Here is a 16,146-nt window from a genome sequence, read left to right on the forward strand (position 1 = left end):
TGGGCCCAGGAAAAATGGACGTAAGTTCCTAACTCCATTCTTTCCTTGGAACTCAGATTTCCAATGATGTTTGCTGCTTTTAGCTAATTAAATAACCTAGCTTTTACCTTATCCAACAAAACACATTTTTTCAGGATAGCTGATATTATATATGGTTTAAGGACAACAGTGTGCTTTAATTTACACAAAAGGTGGGAATGATTTTATGGATTGCAGATATATATACATTTAGAGTATTTTTCAATCCCAGAAGATGAGTGTCTAATTGCCAAAAAATCAGGAAATGTGTTTCAAAGTAATGCTTATTTTATACACAGTAGGATTGTTGGAATTTATAAAAGGAAAATGGAATACAAAGGTATTATACTCAAATAAAAAGCATATAGCCTTTCAAATAAGCCAGGTATGGAGCTTGCAGGTGGGGCAGATACCCTGAAGAAAAAGGATGCGGGAGGTCAGGCTTTGAAAAAGCATATTAGTGCTAGCCACCCTTTGGGCACATTCTCGTCATATAAAAATAGTAACTTCTGGTTCCTGGACACTTTCTATGTCCCAGACATTTGCTATACACTTTATGTATGCTACTTTATTTCATGCTTTCAAAAACTTATGTAAGGTGAGCATCTCTATTTTATAAGAACTGAGAATCGCTTAGATCTAAGATCCAAGCAGCTTTTTCTTAGAGAAGACACAGGTACTTCCATGTAATCAGCTAGAAATCGGGTGGGAAAAACTCCTTCCGTTGTACAGCCCTGGGGCTCCCACCAAGTGGGAGAAGTGACACTTCCTTTGGTCATCTGGCATGGGGACTGGGGGATGGTAGGAATCCTCCAGAGTGCTTCTGTTTTAGGAAGACCAGGCAGTAGCTTTGGTTATTAGAATGCATTCATTGTTCAACCGTAAACACAAGCAATAAACAACTATACAACTTTGATAGATATTTGTAGGAACTTCATCTGTATACTCACAAATAGAGGGAAAATATCTTAAGTGACAAAGAAGAATGTTACTACATCAATAATCCAGTGATCTCCATCATCATAGTGCCTCATCCCAGGTGTAATTGATGTCACCCCAATATCTCCATTATCATAGTGCCTCATCCTGGATGTAATTGATGTCACCCTTCTGTTCCATGACTCGGACCCAAAAGGAGGGCAGTCTTTAACACTGAATGCGGCGGGTGTTTCTTCCTAAAACTTGGTTCAGCCAGGGTACTTTCTTACATGCCACTCTTCTAGTGAGATATTCCACTTTCTATATAACTTTTGAACATGACTTTGAAATCAGAGCTCAGCGCCTTCCTTCTACTTCTTCCTCTCCAGTAAGCAACCTAATCTCTCAACATACTTTTGCCTCTATCGTTGTTTAAAAAATAGTGTTATTTAAAACCAGTGATGGCTAGTTAGGAACAGTTTGGAAAATAAATGAAAGAACCTTAAATAAACAAATAAACAACTATTATTATCAATCCGCAAGTTGTAAACACTATTAACATTGTGATCTGCAAGTTGAACTATACGAAATTGCTGCTAATAGACTTGTTGACCTCCTCACTCAGCAAATTCGTGTGGTTAAACCTAAATTTAATATATGTCTTTTTAAAGATTGTTTTGTGTATAGATTTGTGTTTATAAGACTGTGGATATGTCCACACAACTTATCTCTAGGTTGTTTGTGTTTTGCTGAACATAACATAGAGTACATTTTACCATGCAACTGTTCTTTGCAAACATATTTTTAATTGGGAGTTTCTTTTCAGGCACCCCTTCCTCGGTGCCTTTGATCTATAGAGCCAGGGTGTCCTTGGTTCCAGGCAGGCATTTATTCAGCAGTAAATATTAACCACTTACTAATCAAAAATATCACTTAAGCCAGCAGGAAAAAGCTGTATTCACTCAGGACATTTGATCATTTTCTGAAAGATTTTTTTACAAGAAAAACTTGAGGGAATCCAATTAAATATGTTGTTTGCCGTACCAGCAGTATTATATTTCCTGAGAACAGCTGTACAACAGGAATTGCCAAAATTATAATTCATCACATCAAAACTGACCTTTCCAAATATTTAAGAGGTTGAAATTTTAGCTACATACAGTTTCAGGAGCTCATTAGATTTTCAAGAGTATATCTAAGAATGTCATGGCTACATTTCAAAATGTGGTATTTGAAGACAGGTGTTTCTAAATGATGTTATCAGATTTTTAAAAATATTCCAAATCCATTAGTCATTGTTGTGCAATGCAGAGTGCAGCATTCCTTTCTTAGAAAGATACATTTACTTTTACGATGGTATAGAGTCTATGAAATCTGGGCAAATACTTATCTAGACTCAAGAGCACATTCAGTTTTTAGCTAAGCTAGATTCTGAAGAATAATTTTGTTTCTTTCTGTACTGATATAGAGAAGAATCCTGAACTGTTTGTGCAGGGCATCATTTAGCATAGCTCCCCTACATGGTCAAACAAAATTGAGAAAAGCAAGCATCAGAATATAACTGCCTTTAGAAAATTCACAGTCCACATCTCAGTTTTGACATTTCTGAGTAATCCCATTATAACAGTAATGGTAATATAGTATTTAACCCAGAACTTTCCAAATTTATTTGAACACCATATCTCTTTCTCGAATATTGTGGAGCCCTCGGACATCCAGTAGAATCTAGGAAATGTTGTAACCGTCTAGGTAGTGTCTTGTGATTGCTTGAATTTGCCTACTCTAAACCCTATCATCTTAGTCACTTATCAGTTAAAATCCAGACAGTCCTGGTGACTCTCTACAGTACCAGCAAGGGTGAATTTTTGGCCAGGCGTGGGAGCTCACACCTACAATCCCAACACTTTGAGAGGCAGAGGGAGGAGAATTGCTTCAGCCCAGGAGTTTGAGACCAGCTTGGGCAAGATGGTGAGACCTCGTCTCTACAAACAAATTTAAAATGTAAAAAATTAGCCAGGCATAGTGGCGCATGTCTGTAGTCCCAGCTACCCAGGAGACTGAGGGAGGAGGATTACTTCAGTCCAGGGGTTCTAGGCTGCAATGAGCTGTGATGGCACCACTGCATTTATAAAGACAATAAAATGTTGGAAAAAATTTAAACCTACAATATGATATTAAAATATCTATAGTTTTTATCATCATACAACACACTGTACGTGGTGTAGAGTTCCAACATTCATTTCTGTCGCCTTCTTCACACACACATGCTCACAAGTGATGACAGTCTGTATGTAAGATGACCACTGTGGTGTGCCCCTGGAGGTTCCTTTTGTGCCTACTTTAAATAGCATTTGGTAAGCCCTTTTTTATTGTTTCCTGGCAGTATTGCTAAGTATCCTGCTCATCCTGTATCTTAGCAGCATTCATCAGTCTTCTCTGCCTGCCGTTGTTACGTTTCCTTTTTTCTTTTTATCAACTGTGTTTCTAAGGAGTTTTGCTTGGCTGCAGAACACCCAGGGAAGTGCGTACAGTTAAAAACTCCCCAGGTGTGACTTATTACGTATTTTCCCTGGTCTTAATGTGTATCTGTCTGGGCAGTGATGTGAACTTAAGGGCACATTTGGGGCTTGCAGTCTTTACCCACCATGCTGTGAAAGAGATAGACATGTGAATAGAGAGTAGGAGTACTTTTTTTTTCTTTCTTTTTTTTTTTTTTTTTTAATGACAAGCAGAGTGGTAAGGCACAGAGGAAACTAGAAGCCCAAATGGGAAATGCAAGCTTAGAGAGGCTGATGCAGCTTCAGTCATGGGTGGCCCTGTCTAGTCCGGAGAGAAGCTCAGGCCTCATCTGCTAGGAGGTTTGTTTTCAAGTCACCTTTTAATTAGAATGTAGTATATGCCCATTTAAAACAAAAACACAACTTGGAAAACAGGAATCTTCGTGGAAAAATGATATACATTCCTATCACTTAAAAGATAGTCAAGATGGCCGGGCGCGGTGGCTCACGCCTGTAATCCCAGCACTTTGGGAGGCCAAGGCGGTCGGATCACGAGGTCAGGAGATCGAGACCATCCTGGCTAACACGGTGAAACCCCGTCTCTACTAAAAATACAAAAAATTAGCTGGGCGTGGTGGCAGCCACCTGTAGTCCCAGCTACTTGGGAGGCTGAGGCAGGAGAATGGCGTGAACCCGGGAGGCGGAGCTTGCAGTGAGCCGAGATCGCGCCCCTGCACTCCAGCCTGGGAGACAGAGCGAGACTCTGTCAGAAAAAAAAAAAAAAAAAAGTAAAGATGACATTTAGATGTCATATTTCCTCTCTCTTTTTTATGATTTATTTATTTATTTATTTATTTTTGAGATGGAATCTCACTCTGTCGCCCAGGCTGGAGTGCAGTGGCGGGATCTTGGCTCACTGCAACCTCCGCCTCCTGGGCTCAAGTAATTCTCTTGCCTCAGCCTCCCAAGTAGCTAGAATTACAGGCGCCTGCCACCATGCCCAGCTAATTTTTGTATTTTTAGTAGAGATGGGGTTTTGCCATGTTGGCCACACTGGTTTTGAATTCCTGACCTCGGGTGATCCACTGGCCTCAGCCTCCCAAAGTGCTAGGATTACAGATGTGAGCCACTGCGCCTGACCTCCTTTCTCTTTTTTATAACATATAGTTATTCTATCACTCCTCTGAGGTAAATTACTGGTTTTTAACTTCAGGCTGTGCATGAAAAGACCAAGGCCCTGAGTCTGGACTGCCTGAAGTCCACACTCAGCCACTGCTGAAGACCCTGGATGGAGACTTCCTGCCATTGCAGTGAACAGTAAAAACGAAACCGATTCTCCAAAGAAGCAGGTCCTACATATAGAACAAAATATAGCTACTTTCTAGTATTTAAGAATGTATCTACCTGCAGACTTTTAAACTGAGCCAATATTGTTACTGATTCTTCATTTTCTAATCAATTCCAAAGTGTAATTGATGAGAATGATGGCCCAATTATGGAGAGATATTGGACTGTAAATTTCATAGTGGTCCTTTAAGCTGTTTTTCTGGTTTGTGGCGGAAGCACCCAAAAGAATATCTTTTATAAGAATCAAAACTACAGGTACATTTTTCCCCTTTAAAATTGGTTTCTCGAACCCCCATAAACACCATTATTTGGTCAAACTCCGTAACATTGGTGTGACCCAAAATAAGAACTACTTATCCCTAGCTTTCACATTCATGTTATGATTTAAGAGAGAGTGAGAGACGAGTGGGATTCAGGGTGGGGGTGGAGGGAGAGGCTGAGATTCATGGACTATAATTATAAGTCACCTGAGCTGGGGTTGCTGAAAGGTTACCTGAAGAAAAGGGTGATTAATATTTCCAAGTATCTAAATGGAGCCATCTCTGGCTAAAGAATAGTATTTTAAAGATATTATTTATAAAATCAAGGAGCTTCAGGACTGGACCTTTTCTTTTGTTATAGATATTTTTTGAACTTTAAAAATTACAGGAAACCATTTGGTGAGTTAGACATTTTTAAAATTATAGTTTTGTGGGAAAAATAACAGCATTGACTTTTAGATCTGGATGTGTTTTTCCATGTTAAAGCTACTTACTAAATGGAGCGTGTAGTAGTTTTTACTCAATATGACAGAGTCTTTTAAAATTCTCTTTGTGAATAATAGTTACTGTTGTTTTCTCAAAATACATTTTTCAAGGATTATCTCCCTCTTAATGCCACAACCTCAGAACCTTGGCCAAAGATTGTTTTCAGTCCGCCTTTGGTGCAAGACTGTGTTTGAGACCCAAGAGATAATAAATAGATACATCTGTGAACACTACTTTTCTTTCCAAAAATCAGATACGTAGGTAGATACATATATAGATAGAAATAGAGATAGATAGGTAGGTATGGGTAGGTAGATAGATAAGAGATAGAGATAGAGAGAAAGAGGGAGAGAGAGAGAATATCCAGTTATGGTGAGGAAATAGGAAACAAAATTGCTACAACTGTTTTGGTAAGTAATCTAGCAGTATGTACCAAAATTTAAGCTATGAATACTCTATAACATATAAATCATAATTTTAGGAATATAGAACTAAAAATGGATGTATATATATTATATACACACACAAAAGGATTACTATTGCTATATTGTTTATAATAAGAAAAAGGAAGCAACCATAATTCTATAAATAGTAAAAGAATAGGGCACATCCATGCTGAGGTGGATTCACTCTCTCTTACAAAGAGAGAGTTAGATTCACAGGCATTGATGAGAAATATATAGTACTGTTTCGTGAGAAGGGCATATGCATAGTCGTATGAGTGGTAGGATAATAGTAAAAGAAATGGGTAGAGACATACTTTATTTTATTGTGCTTCAGTTCATTGTGCTTCACAGATATTGTGATTTTTACAGATTGAAGATTTGTAGCTTCCCTGCTTCAGCAAATCCATTGGCAGCATTTTTCCAACCCCAAGTGCTCACTTTGTGTCTGTGTCACATTTTGGTAATTCTTGTAGTATTTCAAGCTTTTTAATTATTATTATATATGACATGGTGATCTGGAATCAGTGATCTTTGAGGTTATTGTTGTAATTGTATTGAGATGCCATAAACCACTCCCATATAAAATAGCAAGCTTAATTGATAAATGTAATTAATGAATGTGTTCTGACTGCTCCACCAACCACCCATTTCTTCATCTCTTTTCCTCTCCTTGCCCTCCACCCCATTTCCTGAGTCACAACAATATTGAAATTAGGCCAATTAATAGTCTTACAACAGCCTCTAAGTGTTCAAGTGAAAGGAAGAGTTACATGTCTCAGTCAAAAACTAGAAATAACGAAGCTGAGTGAGGGTGCCATGTGGAAAGCTGAGACAGGCTGAAAGTGATGCCTCTTACACCAAACAGTTAGCCAAGTTGTGAATGCAAAGGAAAAGTTCATGAAGGAAATGAAAAGTGCTACTCCAGTGAACACACAAATGATAAGAAGGCAAAACAGCCTTATTGCTGATATGGAGGAGAAAGTTTGAGTGTCCTGGCTAGAAGATCCAGCCAACCACAAGATTCCCTTAATCCATAGCCTCATCTAGAGCAAGGCTTTAACTCTCTTCAATTCTATGAAGGCTGAGAGAGGAAAGGAAGCTGCAGAAGAAGAATGTGAAGCTAGCAGAGGTTGGTTCATGAGGTTTAAGGACAAAAGCTGTCTATATAATATAAAATTACAAGGTGAAGCAGCAAGTGCAGATCATTGATGAAGGTGGCAACACTAAACATCAGATTTTCAGTGTAGATCGACCAGCCTTCTGCTGGAAGAAGATGCCATCTAGGACTTTCAAAGCTAGAGAGAAGTCAAGGCCTGGCTTTAAAGTTTCAAAGGACAGGCTGACTTCCTTATTAGGAGCTAATGCAGCTACTAGTTAAGTTGAAGGTAACATTCATTTATTATTTCAAAAATCCTAGGGCCCTGAAGAATTATGTTAAATCTACTTTGCCTGTGCTCTATAAATGGAATAACAAAGCCTGGATGACAGTGCATCTGTTTACAGCCTGATATACTGAATATTTTAAGCCTACTGTTGAGAACTACTGCTCAGAAAAAGATTCATTTAAAAATATTACTATTCACTGACAATGCATCTACTCGTCCAATAGCTCTCATTTGGGTGTACAAGGAGGATATTAATGTTGTTTTCATGCCTGTTAATATAACATCCATTCTGCAGCCCATGAATCAAGGAGCAATTTTGGCTTTTAAGTCTTACTATTTTAAGAAATACATTTCATAAAGCTATAGCTGCCATAGATTCTTGTGATGGATCTGGGCAATGTCAATTGAAAACCTTCTAGAAAGGATTCACCATTCTAGATGCTATTAAATACATTCATGATTCTTGAGAGGAGGTAAAAATATCAACACTAACAGGAGTTTGAAGAAGTAGATTTCAGCCCTCATGGATGATTTTGAGGGGTTCAAGACTTCGATGAAGAAAGAATAAATACCATTGTGGTAGAAACAGCAAGAGAACTAGAATTTAAAGTGGAGCCTGAAGATGGGCCTGATTTGCTGCTATCTCATGATAAAACTTGGAGGAGGAGTTGCTTGTTATGGATTAGCAAAGAAAGTGGTTTTCTTGAGATGGAATTAACTCTTGGTGAAGATACTGTGAATATTGTTAAAATGACCACAAAAGATTTAGAATATTACGTAAACTTAGTAAAGCTGCAGCAGCCTTTGAGAGGATTGGTTCCAATTTTTAAAAAGTTCTACTGTGGACAAAATGCTGTCAAACAGCATCACATGCAACTTGAGGATGTGATGTATAGCATCACAAGCTACAGAGAAATCTTTTACAAAAGAAAGAGTCCATCACTGCAGCAAACTTCATTGTTTCTTATTTGAAAAAATTGCCACAGCCTCCCCAGCTTTTGGCAACCACCACCCTGATCAGTCAGCACCCATCAACATTGAGGCAAACCCTCCACCAAAAAAAAAAAATTATAACTCTATAAAGGCTCAGATGATTGTTAGTATTTTCTAGCAATAAAGGTTTTTTTTTATTATACTTTAAGTTTTAGGGTACATGTGCACAACGTGCAGGTTTGTTACATATGTATACATGTGCCATGTTGGTGTGCTGCACCCTTAAATCGTCATTTACATTAGGTATATCTCCTAATGCTATCCCTCCCCCCTCCCCCAACCCCACAACAGGCCCCGGGGTGTGATGTTCCCCTTCCTGTGTCCAAGTGTTCTCATTGTTCAGTTCCCACCTATGAGTAAGAACATGCAGTGTTTGGTTTTTTGTCCTTGCGATAGTTTGCTGAGAATGATGGTTTCCAGCTTCATCCATGTCCCTACAAAGGACATGAACTCATCATTTTTTATGGCTGCATGGTATTCCATGGTGTATAAGTTTTTTTTTTTTTAATTTTTTTTTTTTATTATACTCTAAGTTTTAGGGTACATGTGCACATTGTGCAGGTTAGTTACATATGTATACATGTGCCATGCTGGTGCGCTGCACCCACTAACGTGTCATCTAGCATTAGGTATATCTCCCAATGCTATCCCTCCCCCCTCCCCCGACCCCACCACAGTCCCCAGAGTGTGATATTCGCCTTCCTGTGTCCATGTGATCTCATTGTTCAATTCCCACCTATGAGTGAGAATATGCGGTGTTTGGTTTTTTGTTCTTGCGATAGTTTACTGAGAATGATGGTTTCCAATTTCATCCATGTCCCTACAAAGGACATGAACTCATCATTTTTTATGGCTGCATAGTATTCCATGGTGTATATGTGCCACATTTTCTTAATCCAGTCTATCATTGTTGGACATTTGGGTTGGTTCCAAGTCTTTGCTATTGTGAATAGTGCCGCAATAAACATACGTGTGCATGTGTCTTTATAGCAGCATGATTTATAGTCCTTTGGGTATATACCCAGTAATGGGATGGCTGGGTCAAATGGTATTTCTAGTTCTACATCCCTGAGGAATCGCCACACTGACTTCCACAATGGTTGAACTAGTTTACAGTCCCACCAACAGTGTAAAAGTGTTCCTATTTCTCCACATCCTCTCCAGCACCTGTTGTTTCCTGACTTTTTAATGATTGCCATTCTAACTGGTGTGAGATGATATCTCATAGTGGTTTTGATTTGCATTTCTCTGATGGCCAGTGATGATGAGCATTTCTTCATGTGTTTTTTGGCTGCATAAATGTCTTCTTTTGAGAAGTGTCTGTTCATGTCCTTCGCCCACTTTTTGATGGGGTTGTTTGTTTTTTTCTTGTAAATTTGTTTGAGTTCATTGTAGATTCTGGATATTAGCCCTTTGTCAGATGAGTAGGTTGCGAAAATTTTCTCCCATGTTGTAGGTTGCCTGTTCACTCTGATGGTAGTTTCTTTTGCTGTGCAGAAGCTCTTGAGTTTAATTAGATCCCATTTGTCAATTTTGGCTTTTGTTGCCATTGCTTTTGGTGTTTTGGACATGAAGTCCTTGCCCACACCTATGTCCTGAGTGGTAATGCCTAGGTTTTCTTCTAGGGTATTTATGGTTTTAGGTCTAACGTTTAAATCTTTAATCCATCTTGAATTGATTTTTGTATAAGGTGTAAGGAAGGGATCCAGTTTCAGCTTTCTACATATGGCTAGCCAGTTTTCCCAGCACCATTTATTAAATAGGGAATCCTTTCCCCATTGCTTGTTTTTCTCAGGTTTGTCAAAGATCAGATAGTTGTAGATATGCGGCATTATTTCTGAGGGCTCTGTTCTGTTCCATTGATCTATATCTCTGTTTTGGTACCAGTACCATGCTGTTTTGGTTACTGTAGCCTTGTAGTATAGTTTGAAGTCAGGTAGTGTGATGCCTCCAGCTTTGTTCTTTTGGCTTAGGATTGACTTGGCGATGCGGGCTCTTTTTTGGTTCCATATGAACTTTAGAGTAGTTTTTTCCAATTCTGTGAAGAAAGTCATTGGTAGCTTGATGGGGATGGCATTGAATCTGTAAATTACCTTGGGCAGTATGGCCATTTTCACGATATTGATTCTTCCCACCCATGAGCATGGAATGTTCTTCCATTTGTTTGTGTCCTCTTTTATTTCCTTGAGCAGTGGTTTGTAGTTCTCCTTGAAGAGGTCCTTCACATCCCTTGTAAGTTGGATTCCTAGGTATTTTATTCTCTTTGAAGCAATTGTGAATGGGAGTTCACTCATGATTTGGCTCTCTGTTTGTCTGTTGTTGTTGTATAAGAATGCTTGTGATTTTTGTACATTGATTTTGTATCCTGAGACTTTGCTGAAGTTGCTTATCAGCTTAAGGAGATTTTGGGCTGAGACGATGGGGTTTTCTAGATAAACAATCATGTCGTCTGCAAACAGGGACAATTTGACTTCCTCTTTTCCTAATTGAATACCCTTTATTTCCTTCTCCTGCCTGATTGCCCTGGCCAGAACTTCCAACACTATGTTGAATAGTAGCGGTGAGAGAGGGCATCCCTGTCTTGTGCCAGTTTTCAAAGGGAATGCTTCCAGTTTTTGCCCATTCAGTATGATATTGGCTGTGGGTTTGTCATAGATAGCTCTTATTATTTTGAAATACATCCCATCAATACCTAATTTATTGAGAGTTTTTAGCATGAAGGGTTGTTGAATTTTGTCAAAGGCTTTTTCTGCATCTATTGAGATAATCATGTGGTTTTTGTGTTTGGCTCTGTTTATATGCTGGATTACATTTATTGATTTGCGTATATTGAACCAGCCTTGCATCCCAGGGATGAAGCACACTTGATCATGGTGGATAAGCTTTTTGATGTGCTGCTGGATTCGGTTTGCCAGTATTTTATTGAGGATTTTTGCATCAATGTTCATCAAGGATATTGGTCTAAAATTCTCTTTTTTGGTTGTGTCTCTGCCCGGCTTTGGTATCAGAATGATGCTGGCCTCATAAAATGAGTTAGGGAGGATTCCCTCTTTTTCTATTGATTGGAATAGTTTCAGAAGGAATGGTACCAGTTCCTCCTTGTACCTCTGGTAGAATTCGGCTGTGAATCCATCTGGTCCTGGACTCTTTTTGGTTGGTAAACTATTGATTATTGCCACAATTTCAGAGCCTGTTATTGGTCTATTCAGAGATTCAACTTCTTCCTGGTTTAGTCTTGGGAGAGTGTATGTGTCGAGGAATGTATCCATTTCTTCTAGATTTTCTAGTTTATTTGCGTAGAGGTGTTTGTAGTATTCTCTGATGGTAGTTTGTATTTCTGTGGGATCGGTGGTGATATCCCCTTTATCATTTTTTATTGTGTCTATTTGATTCTTCTCTCTTTTTTTCTTTATTAGTCTTGCTAGCGGTCTATCAATTTTGTTGATCCTTTCAAAAAACCAGCTCCTGGATTCATTGATTTTTTGAAGGGTTTTTTGTGTCTCTATTTCCTTCAGTTCTGCTCTGATTTTAGTTATTTCTTGCCTTCTGCTAGCTTTTGAATGTGTTTGCTCTTGCTTTTCTAGTTCTTTTAATTGTGATGTTAGGGTGTCAATTTTGGATCTTTCCTGCTTTCTCTTGTAGGCATTTAGTGCTATAAATTTCCCTCTACACACTGCTTTGAATGCGTCCCAGAGATTCTGGTATGTGGTGTCTTTGTTCTCGTTGGTTTCAAAGAACACCTTTATTTCTGCCTTCATTTCGTTATGTACCCAGTAGTCATTCAGGAGCAGGTTGTTCAGTTTCCATGTAGTTGAGCAGCTTTGAGTGAGATTCTTAATCCTGAGTTCTAGTTTGATTGCACTGTGGTCTGAGAGATAGTTTGTTATAATTTCTGTTCTTTTACATTTGCTGAGGAGAGCTTTACTTCCAACTATGTGGTCAATTTTGGAATAGGTGTGGTGTGGTGCTGAAAAAAATGTATATTCTGTTGATTTGGGGTGGAGAGTTCTGTAGATGTCTATTAGGTCTGCTTGGTGCAGAGCTGAGTTCAATTCCTGCGTATCCTTGTTGACTTTCTGTCTCGTTGATCTGTCTAATGTTGACAGTGGGGTGTTAAAGTCTCCCATTATTAATGTGTGGGAGTCTAAGTCTCTTTGTAGGTCACTCAGGACTTGCTTTATGAATCTGGGTGCTCCTGTATTGGGTGCATAAATATTTAGGATAGTTAGCTCCTCTTGTTGAATTGATCCCTTTACCATTATGTAATGTCCTTCTTTGTCTCTTTTGATCTTTGTTGGTTTAAAGTCTGTTTTATCAGAGACTAGGATTGCAACCCCTGCCTTTTTTTGTTTTCCATTTGCTTGGTAGATCTTCCTCCATCCTTTTATTTTGAGCCTATGTGTGTCTCTGCACGTGAGATGGGTTTCCTGAATACAGCACACTGCTGGGTCTTGACTCTTTATCCAACTTGCCAGTCTGTGTCTTTTAATTGCAGAATTTAGTCCATTTATATTTAAAGTTAATATTGTTATGTGTGAATTTGATCCTGTCATTATGATGTTAGCTGGTGATTTTGCTCATTAGTTGATGCAGTTTCTTCCTAGTCTCGATGGTCTTTACATTTTGGCATGATTTTGCAGCGGCTGGTACCCGTTGTTCCTTTCCATGTTTAGCGCTTCCTTCAGGAGCTCTTTTAGGGCAGGCCTGGTGGTGACAAAATCTCTCAGCATTTGCTTGTCTATAAAGTATTTTATTTCTCCTTCACTTATGAAGCTTAGTTTGGCTGGATATGAAATTCTGGGTTGAAAATTCTTTTCTTTAAGAACGTTGAATATTGGCCCCCACTCTCTTCTGGCTTGTAAGGTTTCTGCCGAGAGATCCGCTGTTAGTCTGATGGGCTTTCCTTTGAGGGTAACCCGACCATTCTCTCTGGCTGCCCTTAACATTTTTTCCTTCATTTCAACTTTGGTGAATCTGACAATTATGTGTCTTGGAGTTGCTCTTCTCGAGGAGTATCTTTGTGGCGTTCTCTGTATTTCCTGAATCTGAACGTTGGCCTGCCTTGCTAGATTGGGGAAGTTCTCCTGGATAATATCCTGCAGAGTGTTTTCCAACTTGGTTCCATTCTCCCCATCACTTTCAGGTACACCAATCAGACGTAGATGTGGTCTTTTCACATAGTCCCATATTTCTTGGAGGCTTTGCTCATTTCTTTTTATTCTTTTTTCTCTAAACTTCCCTTCTCGCTTCATTTCATTCATTTCATCTTCCATTGCTGATACCCTTTCTTCCAGTTGATCGCATCGGCTCCTGAGGCTTCTGCATTCTTCACGTAGTTCTCGAGCCTTGGTGTTCAGCTCCATCAGCTCCTTTAAGCACTTCTCTGTATTGGTTATTCTAGTTATACATTCTTCTAAATTTTTTTCAAAGTTTTCAACTTCTTTGCCTTTGGTTTGAATGTCCTCCCGTAGCTCAGAGTAATTTGATCGTCTGAAGCCTTCTTCTCTCAGCTCGTCAAAATCATTCTCCATCCAGCTTTGTTCCGTTGCTGGTGAGGAACTGCGTTCCTTTGGAGGAGGAGAGGCGCTCTGTGTTTTTGAGTTTCCAGTTTTTCTGTTCTGTTTTTCCCCATCTTTGTGGTTTTATCTACTTTTGGTCTTTGATGATGGTGATGTACAGATGGGTTTTCGGTGTGGATGTCCTTTCTGTTTGTTAGTTTTCCTTCTAACAGACAGGACCCTCAGCTGCAGGTCTGTTGGAATACCCTGCCGTGTGAGGTGTCAGTGTGCCCCTGCTGGGGGGTGCCTCCCAGTTAGGCTGCTCGGGGGTCAGGGGTCAGGGACCCACTTGAGGAGGCAGTCTGCCCGTTCTCAGATCTCCAGCTGTGTGCTGGGAGAACCACTGCTCTCTTCAAAGCTGTCAGACAGGGACACTTAAGTCTGCAGAGGTTACTGCTGTCTTTTTGTTTGTCTGTGCCCTGCCCCCAGAGGTGGAGCCTACAGAGGCAGGCAGGCCTCCTTGAGCTGTGGTGGGCTCCACCCAGTTCGAGCTTCCTGGCTGCTTTGTTTACCTAAGCAAGCCTGGGCAATGGCGGGCGCCCCTCCCCCAGCCTCGTTGCCGCCTTGCAGTTTGATCTCAGACTGCTGTGCTAGCAATCAGCGAGACTCCGTGGGCGTAGGACCCTCCGAGCCAGGTGTGGGATATAGTCTCGTGGTGCGCCGTTTCTTAAGCTGGTCTGAAAAGCGCAATATTCGGGTGGGAGTGACCCGATTTTCCAGGTGCTTCCGTCACCCCTTTCTTTGACTCGGAAAGGGAACTCCCTGACCCCTTGCGCTTCCCAGGTGAGGCAATGCCTCGCCCTGCTTCGGCTCGCGCACGGTGCGCGCACACACTGGCCTGCGCCCACTGTCTAGCACTCCCTAGTGAGATGAACCCGGTACCTCAGATGGAAATGCAGAAATCACCCGTCTTCTGCGTCGCTCACGCTGGGAGCTGTAGACCGGAGCTGTTCCTATTCGGCCATCTTGGCTCCTAGTATTTTTAATTAAGGTATGTACATTGCTTTCTTGGACATATTGCTATTGCACATCTAATTGATGACAATATAGTGTAAACATAACTTTTGTGTGCACTGGGAAACCAAAAAATGTTTGTGACTTACTTTATTGTGGTGGTATGAAACCAAAACCACAATATTTCCAAGGCATGCCAGTACAACTTTAAAAAGTTAGCAAAATATCCTACCTTTTTTTATGGACATCATAAATCAGAGTAATATTTTGTTGACCTGTTGAAAGAAGCCTCTCATCTGGCCTTCCATAATTATTCTGTCTCTAGTTTTGTTTTCTTCTTTATTTGGCTAACTATATAATTAGGACAGCATTCTCTGGAATTGCCAATCTTAGTTTGATTATGTGACCTTTGAGCCATGTTTACTGGGTTTTGGAGAAGACTGTCATCTGTACTTAGAGATTTGAACCTCATCTCTAAATGAATGTTACATGCAATTAATTTTCAATAGAATGAATCTGCAGCTAGGATGAAAGCCAGTTCCTTTGCTTGTTTTCAGAATGAATGTCTTTCTGAATCTGATACTAGAGAAATTTAATCAGAGAAACTTCAAGATGTTCAATCTCATTTATTGTCTCCCAATTCATTTAGTGAACAAGATATTGATATTAGTAGACACTTCAATAAAATTCAGTTGTGTTTATGTCTGTTTTAACATTAATGGTGCTACTTAATTTTGTATAATATGTATTTACTTATTTAAAATGATCTGAATTTCAACATGTAGGCAATGTTGGGACTCCTAATTGTAAATTAGGCAAATGCGTTTGTAATAATGGGCATTTATTACTTTTAATGATAAAATCTACTGTAAATATTTACTGAGCAACTACTATGCACAAGACAGTGGGTTTCAGTGAGAGGACTGACACATGGTTAAATGGAGTTAACTGAGTACTTGCCCTTTGACCCATTAGATTTTACAGGGATATTAGCAGTGAAAGATGAATTGTATGCTCATCAGCATGCCCTAAATGGTAGAAAATGTCTATTTGTTAGATAGAGATGAGGGAGAGAAATGACTACATCCTTGCACTGAAGTGTTGTTTGATGACTTACCCTCATTTCCTATAGTAGGAATGGGAGTGTTGATATAGTTCAGTTTACTCTTGAAGTTCTAGGTACACAGATATTATTTCCTGAGAATGTGCTGCTATGTAAGAGAGGCAAGGCTGTTAGTGGAAAGAGTCAGACAGAGCTGATTTCAAGTTGTGACCCATGGTCA

The 16,146-nt window shown here is 39.6% G+C and overlaps 1 protein-coding gene and 1 long non-coding RNA gene across 32 annotated transcripts in view; one reads left to right on the forward strand and one right to left on the reverse strand.

Annotated features, from left to right (window-relative positions):
* CHRM3 (cholinergic receptor muscarinic 3) overlaps window positions 1–16,146 on the forward strand; it is a 528,883-nt gene that overhangs the window by 228,072 nt on the left and 284,665 nt on the right. Inside the window, exon 1 of one of the 30 annotated variants that reach the window (NM_000740.4) lies at window positions 14,434–14,900. The exons of the other annotated variants lie outside the window; for them this stretch is intronic. The gene's annotated coding sequence lies outside the window, so the exon portion shown is untranslated. Of the gene's footprint in view, window positions 1–14,433; window positions 14,901–16,146 lie in introns of those variants that run through there. 30 annotated transcript variants of the gene reach the window in all.
* The window catches only part of LOC105373225 (uncharacterized), a 42,892-nt gene that overhangs the window by 23,960 nt on the left and 2,786 nt on the right, over window positions 1–16,146 (reverse strand). The gene's annotated exons all lie outside the window — the stretch shown is intronic.

Source organism: Homo sapiens, chromosome 1 (assembly GCF_000001405.40).
Source record: "Homo sapiens chromosome 1, GRCh38.p14 Primary Assembly".
Lineage (NCBI taxonomy): Eukaryota > Metazoa > Chordata > Mammalia > Primates > Hominidae > Homo > Homo sapiens.